The sequence below is a fragment of the Homo sapiens genome, chromosome 16 (genome assembly GCF_000001405.40).
Source record: "Homo sapiens chromosome 16, GRCh38.p14 Primary Assembly".
Lineage (NCBI taxonomy): Eukaryota > Metazoa > Chordata > Mammalia > Primates > Hominidae > Homo > Homo sapiens.
In genome coordinates this window covers 54,191,755-54,202,139 of record NC_000016.10, presented here as the reverse complement: position 1 = coordinate 54,202,139, position 10,385 = coordinate 54,191,755, and the positions used below count along the sequence as shown (strand labels likewise).

Genomic DNA, 10,385 nt, shown 5'->3' with positions numbered 1-10,385 from the left:
GCCTAGGCACAGAGGGGACCTCTCTTGAAAGGTGTGGGGTAGCTCTCAGAATCAGCCAAAGTGCTAGGCTCAAAAAGGGCAGGTGTGAGGGACCTGGGGAGCAAGAGCCTGTACAAAGTCTGCTAAGATTGGAACCAAGCTCCAACCATTCATTTTTCATCTTGAGACAGTGAATTTTTTTTTTTTTTTTTTTTATGAGATAGAGCCTTGCTCTGTTGCCCAGGCTGGAGTGCAGTGGCACGATCTCGGCTCACTGCAACCTCCACCTCCTAGGTTCAAGTGATTCTCCTGCCTTAGCCTCCCGAGTAGCTGGGATTATAGGTGCCCACCACCATGCCTGGCTAATTTTTGTATTTTTAGTAGAGACGGGGTTTCACCATGTTGGCCAGGCTGGGCTCAAACTCCTGACCTCAGGCAATCTGCCTGCCTTGGTCTCCCAAAGTGCTCGGATTACAGGCATGTGCCACAGCGCCTGGCTGAGACAGTGGATCATAATGGCTGAGCTCTTATCAGGTACCCACCCATTGGCCAGGAGACAGAGGCTCAAACAATAGAGAATCTCATTGGCTGAGCTTGACTCACTGCCCCACCCACTGGCCAGGAGAGAGAGGTTCAAAGAATAGGAGAATCTCATTGGCTAAGCTTGACTCACTGCCCCACCCATTGGCCAAGAGAGAAAGGTTCAAACAATAGAAGAATCTCACTGGCTAAGATTAACTCACGGTCCCACCCACTGGCCAAAAGAGACAGCATTCAAACAATAGGAGAATCCCATTGGCTAAGCTTAACTCCCTGCCCCGCCCATTGGCAGAGCACTTGATTGACAGCCCTACCAACAGGAGGACTGTGGAAAGGCCATTCATTGTTCTTACCATAAATGGAGTGGGGAGGCAGGAGGGATGGACAAACAATAACTGGCCACGACAAGGGTCATCAACGAGGTCAAGAAAGATGATTTTCCTAAGAATCCCACTTTACTCTGTATCTACTTATGCCCTATCAAATGACTAGAAAGTATCTCTCCAAGCCCTAAGGAGGGAAATGGGTCAGTAGGAACAGCTGCTGCTATACCTACATTTATGGAGCCCTCACCTTGTGCTGGGCAGTGAACTAAGCATGTTGTACCCATGATCTTATTTCAACCTCCCAACAGCCATACAAGGCAATGGACTTTGTAGGTGGGGCTCAGCTAAGGGATCTGCACTGAGCTCACCACTCCCAGAGCCAGGATGTGACTGCAGAGCTGTTGGTCTCCAAGGCCTGTGCAGTCAAACTCTCCACAACATGGATTCTCAAGGCAGAGTGGGAGCACACACGGGAGGAGGGAGAAAAGAGAAGGAGAGAGTTTAGGGGAAAACTCAAGGCACCAACATGATGAAGCAGGAACCCAAAGCCTGGAATCTTGGCACCAGAACAACATACACATTGTCTCTTTTGCTGCCAGCAAGCACCTCCTCACCATCTGGCTCCCCCCAACCCCTTTCCTTTTACCAATCAAGTGCTCTGCCAATGTAGGGCAGTGAGTCAAGCTTAGCCAATGAGATTCTCTAATTGTTTGAATACTGTCTCTCCTGGCCAATGAGTAGGGCAGTGAGTCAAGCTTAGCCAATGAGATCCTCCAATTGTTTGAACGCTGTCTCTCCTGGCCAAGAAGTTGGGCAGCGAGTCAAGCTTAGCCAATCAGTCAAGGTAGCAGACACATGGGCCATATAGTGACTGCACCACAGAGACTCGATATCTCTGGGGAGGATTGCATTGCAGGTGGATGTCTCTAATGTGCTTGGGGAAGGTAGGGGTTGGCAAATTGCCAGCTACCTATGTGTCCCAGGTACCATCATGAAACTTTCTGGCTGCCTTTTACTTTTCCCCCACCCTCCACAAGGTATCTAAAAATACAAAGGTCAAAACCAGGGAAAACAGAATGGACTTCCCATTGATTAGCACCTATAAAGGAACCAGAGGCTTTTCCTATGTCATTGCTAAACGTCAGAATGACCTTGAGAGGGGAGCCTGCTGATTTCTATGTTGCACACGAGGACAATGAGGGTCAGAAAGATGAAGATGAGCTGGGATTTTTGCACGTGTGTGGCTGTCAGGGGGAGACACATACTGCAAGAGCCCACTTGTCCCTCCTGCCCTGGTGTCGGGACCAATGGTACTGGGTGGCCCGGCCCCTGCTCTGTCAGCTGGGCACAGGGTCCCCGACACCTGGAAATCTGCCCTCGCTAAGTTATGGTCTCCTTATCCAAAGTTTGTAAAAGGGCACCCTGGGAGAAGAAACGATCTTATCTAGCCAGAGCCCCGCTAAAATCCCAATAAGCCCATTGCGAGCTAGAGATTGAAGTGCGATTTTGGCATCTCTCCTCTGGTGTGGAAAGAGATTACACTGAGTCATATTTCAAAAAGGCGCGACTGACACTGCATAATCTCTGGTCTTAACTCCCCCTGACCTTGAGAGAGCAGCAATCAAGTGGGGGGTGCTGCAGAGGCTGGGAACACAGGTTTAGACGATCACGGAAAAGCTCCGCTGCCAGCAGAATCTCATCAGGCCCCTGTCTGGGGCAGCTCTAAAGCCGCGCAGCAGTGTCCTTTGCAGTCTTCCCCTCCCACCACCCCCGATTCAGGGACAGGGGCCCAGCCTTGATTTCCTAAGGCCCCAAGCCTGCCAGCCCCAGGCCCCGTGCCCAGCCTGGCACTGCCCCCTCCCCTGCACGCCCCTCCCCGCCTTCAGACCCTGGAGGACCCACCAGGACTTTTCTCATCTTCCCTCCACCCCCATCTCTTTTCCAGTGACAATAATGAAGCTGAAAATGTCGCCAGAAAAGGCATCGATCTGTTTATCTATCACTCGCTAATCAAAAGTTTCCTGCCTCCTGTTAAAATACCAATGATTTCCTTTGCGGAATCAAACAGGTCTGTTCCCAGAGACTGAGCGCATCAGCAGAGACAGTTTAATTACCATCTTTGATGCTCCTTCCCTGAATACCAATCTTTCCTGAGTTACATGATGAACACACATTAGGGGAAGAATTAAATCAAAAAGCAGGGACTGACTAATTGCAGGGCGTCTTGCATGAAACCGGGCTTCCCTGATGTGTGCGGTGATCCTCCCTGGGACTCAGGTATTTCAGAGCAGTCAGCCCCTGAATGCCAGCACGCTCAGAGGAGGGCCTAGAGTTTACACTCTGAGACACTCTGATGCATAATAAACATGGTGGTTAGACTTCTTGAGATTGAAAGTCTGGTCCTACACTCAGTCTCAGCCTGGGCCACTTAATTTCCAGGAGCCTCAGTTTTCATGTGTGTAAAATGAAGATATTGAATATCCCATAAAAGGCTACTGTGGGGATTAAAGCAAATGATGGAGGTAAAGCCTTGAACATAATGAGAGGTTCATTAATGAAAGCCATTATTATTATTACCATTAAATAAAACAATAAACAAATGCTTATGATAGACAATATCGTATTTTATTATAAAATATACTACTCAATACATGTATTAGTCACTTCTCATGTGGCTAATAAAGACATACCCAAGACTGGGTAATTTATAAAGGAAAGAAGTTTAATGGACTCACAATTCCACATGGCTGGGGAGGCCTCACAATCATGGTGGAAGACAAAGGAAGAGCAATGGGACGTCTTACATGGTGGCAGGCAAGAGAGCTTGTACAGGGGAAATCCCCATTATAAAACCATCAGATCTGATGAGACTTATTCACTATCATGAGATCAGCATGGGAAAAACCTGCTCCTATGATTCAATTACCTTCCACTGCGTCCCTCCCACTACCTGTGGGGATTATTGCAATTCAAGGTGAGATTTGGGTGGGGACACAGAGCCAAATTGTATTCATATATGTTTATAATTTTAGAATATTGTTATAAACTATAATAAGCAGACTGTCTCCTCTATACATCACTGTGTCCCCAGTGCCTGGAACTGTGCTGCCCATAGGAGGTGTTCCATGAACATGGAGAAGGAATTGCTATGATGGGCACAGAGAATGGCACAGTGAATGTTCTGAACACTGTGCCTTCCCCACCTGACTCTGCAATGAAAACATAGAATAAACATGGTCACTTACATGGAGGTTCAAATCTCCCACATCCTCCACTCCACCACCCTGTCTGGGCTCTTGGAAGAGCCTCTGCCTCCCAAGCCGTCCTGCAGAGCAGGCTGGGCGCCCCCGTGCCCTCAACTGGCCCACTTAATCGGCATGGCCAGAGGGGTGGCTCTCTCTCCCTCACCCGCTGCCAAATCTATTTTGACAGGAACAAATGGCTGTCATATGATACCACTTATGGAAAGGAATACACACAAAAATAATTTTTAGATTATATTTTTTGTAAGAAAAGTGATAAAAGCATTCATAGAAATAAAAAAAATAATTCCCCTCTTCTGTCTGGAGAGCAATAAAGTCTGAGAACCCCATATTCCTCCATCACCATCCCCAGGTGTTCATTTGTCTCACACACACACACACACACACTCACACACATTCGCATACACATACACACATGCGTACACACATATACAAATATACATACACACACTTATACACCCATGCATACACATACATATGTGCATACACACACCACACACTCTTACACACACTCAACTTACATAGATCTACATACACACACCCACACCTGCACATACACAGCTCTCTTCCTACACTGATAATTTCCCACCTTTTTATATTGAGGAAAACTGGGTTATCCCTGATGTTCATCAGTCCTCTACCCACTGATGCCATGCCAGGCTTCCCAGTCAGGGGGCCAGCTGGAAGCAGTGTTCCCAAGTCACCAGCTCTTGACTTTTGTCATCAAAGACATCAAGAAGCACCAAATTGTTTGAGGTGGCATGTGTCAGCCTCAGTGGAGGGCCCTCTCTGTGATGGTCGCATGACAGGCTCATCCCCATGTGCAGCTACCTGCCCTCCTGTCCTGCCCAGGGTCAGGAGTGAGGTCAGTGGGAGAGAAGAGGGAGGCCCTTGGACTCTCCCATTGCCAATGCCCTGGGGCACAAGGAACCTCTCCTGTGGATGTTTTATTTTCCATCCAAAATATGACTCTCAGGGAAACTGAGGCTCAGCTGGTTTATCCGCTCCCCACATTGAACCTCCAGCAGGAACTAGATGCTCTGTTCCTTAAGGCCTTTTCCCCAAATATAAGAAAAAGGAAGAACACCCTTTTGTGGGGATTCTACTAGAAGAGGTTAAATGGTTCCACACAATTCAACAATTATGTCCTACATGCACAGCCCAGATACACACTGATATGGTTTGGATGTTTGTCCCCTCCAAATCTCCTGTTGAAATGCGATCCCCAATGTTGGAGTAGGTTGTAGTGGGAGGTGTTTTGGTCATGGGAGTGGATCCTTCACATATGGCTTGGTGCCATCCCCTTAGTGATGAGTGAGTTCTCACTCACTCTGTTAGTTCACATGAGATCTGGTTGTTAAAGAAATTAGGACCTCCTTTCTCTCTCTCCAGGAGACACACCTGCTCCCCCTTTACCTTCCACCTTGAGTAAAAGCTCCCGGAGACCCTCACCAGAAGTAGATGCAGACACCATGCTTCTTGTACAGCCTGCAGAACCATGAGCAAAATAAAACTCTTTTCTTTATAAACTACTCAGCCTCAGGTGTTCCTTTGTAGCAACGAAAAATGGACTAACATGCATGCAAAGGTGACTCTGTGCATGCATGCGATGGTGACTAAGATGGGTCCCCACTCTCGGGCAGCATGGAGTCTCCTGGCAGACACAGACACCTAACAGGCACTTACAGCACAGCGCGATGTCTCAGACAGGGAGGCCAGCACATAGAGGAAGCTCTTAGGAATCTGGTAAGACTTTTTGGAGGAGGAGCCTAGTCAAGGAAATGCAGGGGTAGGTCCAGGTGGGCTGGACCATCCAGGGTCCAGTGAACCATGTTGAGGAACTGTGTTGTTGGACTCCTGAGGTCAATGGGGACCCACGGAACTATTGAACAAGGCAGAGGGGCATGATCCTATGTGCACTTCACTTTGGCCACTTGCAGTATTTGAGAAATGATCCCTCATGCCCCAGGAGGCGGGATGGGCTTCTGTGATGGGAACAGCCCACCTGGCCACCTCTCCCCTCCATCCTGCCTCCCTCCCTCTCTGGACCTCCTCTCCTAGGCCTGTCTTTCCTCCTTCCCTCTCTTCTCACTTTCCCCTCTTGCTCTGCCTCTCTTGCTCCCCCTCTATTATCTCCCCTTTATTTCTGCCGCTTCGAGCTTCTCAGTCCCCCTGGATTCATCATCTCCCTGCCCCTTCTGGAGATGCAAACACAGAGTGCTGGATGTCATTTATTTTTGTGATTTTTTTCCCCACCCTTTGCACACACACAATTCCCACCCCGCTCATAATGTAAAGATGACCTTTCTGATATTCATTATCAATTAAGGGAACAAATCCTCTTCTCTGAGTGCACTCCAAGCAGCGCGAGAGACCTTTCCAGCTGAAAAACACAGAAGGACCGCTCCCTCTGGCTGCCCTCTCGCCTGTCCCACATCTCTGGGTGAGCTGTAAGGGTGGATGGGGAGCCTAGTGTAGACAGGGCAGATCAGTGCGGGTTAGGGATTGCACGTGCTGCAAATGTTTCTGCCCGCACGACCATCATGGAGAGTCTTTTCTTTTTTTTTTTTTTTTTTTTTTTTTTTTTTTTTTTTTTTTTTTTTTGAGACGGAGTCTCGCTCTGTCGCCCAGTCTGGAGCGCAGTGGCGCGATTTCGGCTCACTGCAAGCTCCGCCTCCCAGGTTCACGCCATTCTCCTGCCTCAGCCTCCCCAGCAGCTGGGACTACAGGTGTACGCAGCCACGTCCAGCTAATTTTTATATTTTTAGTAGAGACGGGGTTTCACCGTGTTAGCCAGGATGGTCTCGATCTCCTGACCTTGTGATCTGCCCGCCTCGGCCTCCCAAAGTGCTGGGATTACAGGCTTGAGCCACCGCGCCCGGCCGATGGAGAGTCTTTTCTTCTTCCCTTGCCAGACGGAGAGGCCTGGCTTCTCAGGCAGGGTGTCTCCAGCTGAGCTCTGGCCACTGAGACCCCAGCAGGCCTCCCTGTGGCCTGCCCCAGGGATCGCTCTTTCCTTCCCATTGCCATTGCGCTGAGGCGTTTTTACACTGTGTAGTATGGTTTCCAGAAGGTCATCTTGCATGGGGCTGCATTTCCTATGCCTACGCCCACGCTGCCCAAAGCTGCCCCTTCCTCCCTTTTGTTTCCGGTCCCTCTTCTTCTCCCTCCTCCTTCTCCCATTCTTCCTTCTCCTCCTTGTCATTCTGTCTGAAAACACACTGGCACTCGCAGCTCTCCCAGGACACCATTCCCATGGGGGCCACACAAAGACAGCGGAAGGAGGCCAGCGCCTGTGCAGAGGCTTTGACTCGCAAAGCTCCTCCCAGGCCCCAGGAAGGCCTTTCTCTCCCAGTTCCGCGGCCAGGGGCTGGGCTCACCTCCAGGTCTGCTGGAGACAGCAGGTCCCGTGGGGAGCAGAGACGGAGCTGGGAGAGGCGGGGCACCCTGCCTGGGATCAGACTCGGGGCTTAGAGCACGTGGTCTCGGGGAACCCGTCCAGACGGTGTCCCTTGGCCTTTCCCACGGCAGCGCCCCCAGTGTCTTATCCCAGATTCCCCGGGGGCCTGGACACACAACCGGCCCGGGAAGGAAACCCCAGACAGCACCCGGCCCACGTCGCTGTCACAGCCTCGGCTTAATTGCTGGGTAGGGAGGGGCAGCAACTCTCCGCCATGGCCCGTGTGGCCCGGGGCTGCCCACACCCGTCTGGGCTGTCGGGGGCACATGCTGTGTGCCTTAGAGTCACATTCGCGCATACTGCATGGGGCTGGCGCCTGCCCAAGTCCTCTTCCTATTCCTCCAGCAGTGCCCAGCAGCACCCAGAAGACTGGGAAGGCCAGATCGCTGGGCCAAAGGCACATTCTGAAAGGGGCGTGAGCACAGGCAGAGTAGGAGGGAGGGAGTGGGGAGAGAGAACACTCAGCCGCAAATTGTTACACATTTGGCCTCAGAGTCTCATGTTACTCCCTCCTGACAATGAATGGCTTCTCAAAACTAAACCCAACAGAGAAAAAAGGGGACAAGGACGTCTCATGACCCTGGGCCGGAACTCCTTCCTGTGTTCTCGGCTCAGAACACCCCCGTTGTGTCCTTGCCTCCGATTCCTTTCCAGGTGCCATGGGCGCCCGGTCCACGCAGGTCTTCCGTGGCCGCTTCTCTAGGGCCCAGGCCCCTTCCAGGAAGAAGTGCGCTCTGGTGACACCATCAGGCCGCTCGGGGGCACTGCAGAGGGAAAGGCCGGAAGCAGAGGACCAAGAGGAGGGCTGAAGGCTGGCATCCACCGCACACCCCCTAGAGCCAGGATTGGCAATGGCGTGCGGCTGGCAGTCTTGCCCAAGCCACATGGGCCCCTCCACCTGGCTCCACCCTCTCCCAACAGCCTTTGTTTACTTAAAACGAGACCCACTGGCAATGAGGAAGGAACTCCAGGAAGCCTCTCTGCCATCCCCCTGCCTCAGGGCACGATTGTCCTCCTCTGGAGGAGGGGTCTATCTTCCTGCTGCCCTCCCCTTACGACTCCTGCGTCTCCTGCCCTAAGGGGTATCTCCTCAAATTCAGAAAGTGAAGAACTAGAGCACCCTATGTAGATGTCTATTGACAGGATTTTACACTATGGATACACTACACAAAACTTTTCAGTGGACGTTCTTAGCAGCATTCTTCATAACAGCAAAACAATTGGAAACCAGGGTCCATCACCAGGGTCTGGTTGAGTCCACGGTCATATACCACCCAAGATTAAACAACACAGCAGGGTCTGGAATCATAAAGAAAATGAGGCTCAGCCCCTACCCCCAAGGAGCTCATGGGCCGGCCAGTGACAGGGGCCGGCCAGGCAGGCAGACTAACGGATCCTGGTGGGAATGCACCTGCAGTTCTGGAAAAGAAAGGAATTTCTTTGCTATCCCATCTCTATCCAGCATTATATGTTATCCTTTCTCCATGGATGCCTTCCTCTGGCCCTTGAAGGTTTCCTTCAGCCAGAGAGCACAGCCACATCTGTGTGAGGCAGTTGGCAGCCCAGGGTGAGAAACCATGAGTTAAAGAAGTGTAGAGTACAGTATCAGGAGTGTCAGCATGTAGAAATTATTCTGTGAGCTTCCTCTACTCCTTGCTAGAATGAAATATTCCTTAAGCTTAAAGTTCAGGTACTAATGACCCATGCATTTTTTTCATTCTGAAAGAAACATTATTGTCTAGACAGAGGCCAAAGAAGGAGTCATTTTGGCTATTACAGTAGCTATTTATTTCATCTGAATTATATAAAAAATTACCTTGGGGTAATTTTTAAGCCCCAAATGCAGTGGCTTAAACAAACAGTCAACATGTAACTATCTCACACTATTTCTCTAGGTCAGGAATTTGAGAGCGGGAATTTGGAGTGATGTAAGTCCCGGGCTTTCTCATGAGGTTGTAGTCATGATGTCAGTGGGGTTGCAGTCACCTGAAGGCTCAACTGGGGATGGAGAATCCATTTCCAAGGTGGCTAACTTCCATGTTTGTGGGCAGGATGCCCCAATTCCTCTCCAGGTGGAATTCTACATAGGGCTGCTTGAGTGTCCTTACAACATGGCAGCCAGCTGCCTCCAGAGCAAGTGATCCAAGTGGAGGCGAGACAGAAGCCACAATGCCTTGTATGCCCTGGCCTTGGAAGTTGTATGCCATCATTTGCCCCATATCCTATTGGCTACACACATCATCTCTGTTCAGTATGAGAGGGATGTCCTTAAAGGCATGAATATCAAGAGGTGGCACTCACTGGTGCCATCTTGAAAGCTGGCTACTACCTTCAAGATGGCCCCAGTGAGCCCCACCTCCTGATATTATGTGGTGAATATTCATAATCAGCAGCACTGAACACCACCATTCCTGACTCTAAACCCTCATTCTCCTAGCCACTGGCCTCCCATTCCCTCACCTGTTCCATGAAGATTCTCACTTGCTACTCCTTCCCTAACTCCTTTCGGAACAGAAGAGAGTGTAATTTGGTTCATTCAGTTATTAAAACAGTATCTAACCTATCATCCTGCATTGAAGATCCAAGAGAATCTGGCTCTAATACCTTCTTGTCTTGTTTCTACCACTTCCCTTCCATCATCCTATGTTCTTCTAAGCTCAGTGATCTAAAGATCCCTGAAAACGGAGGTCAGTCCCTACCCCAGCAGCATGTTTGTTAAAGCCAGTTGTGTGACCTTTGACAGGTTCCTTTCTTGAGACAGGGTTTTGCTCTGTTGCCCAGGCTGGAGTGCAGTGGCGCAATCACTGCGTACTGCAG

The 10,385-nt window shown here is 50.2% G+C and overlaps 3 annotated features.

The window, feature by feature from the left end:
* Window positions 2,289–2,583: a silencer, noted in NCBI's record as "tiled region #10961; K562 Repressive non-DNase unmatched - State 22:ReprW". NCBI's record gives its function as "represses a minimal TATA promoter and a strong SV40 promoter by Sharpr-MPRA in K562 cells {active_cell/tissue: K562}" and the evidence as "EXISTENCE:reporter gene assay evidence [ECO:0000049][PMID:27701403]".
* Window positions 7,073–7,965: an enhancer, noted in NCBI's record as "H3K27ac-H3K4me1 hESC enhancer chr16:54228087-54228979 (GRCh37/hg19 assembly coordinates)". NCBI's record gives its function as "activates a minimal SCP1, AML or CMV promoter by ChIP-STARR-seq in primed H9 embryonic stem cells {active_cell/tissue: H9 hESC(primed)}" and the evidence as "EXISTENCE:reporter gene assay evidence [ECO:0000049][PMID:30033119]".
* Window positions 8,169–8,463: an enhancer, noted in NCBI's record as "tiled region #5065; HepG2 Activating DNase unmatched - State 8:EnhW, and K562 Activating DNase matched - State 8:EnhW". NCBI's record gives its function as "activates a minimal TATA promoter and a strong SV40 promoter by Sharpr-MPRA in HepG2 and K562 cells {active_cell/tissue: HepG2 | K562}" and the evidence as "EXISTENCE:reporter gene assay evidence [ECO:0000049][PMID:27701403]".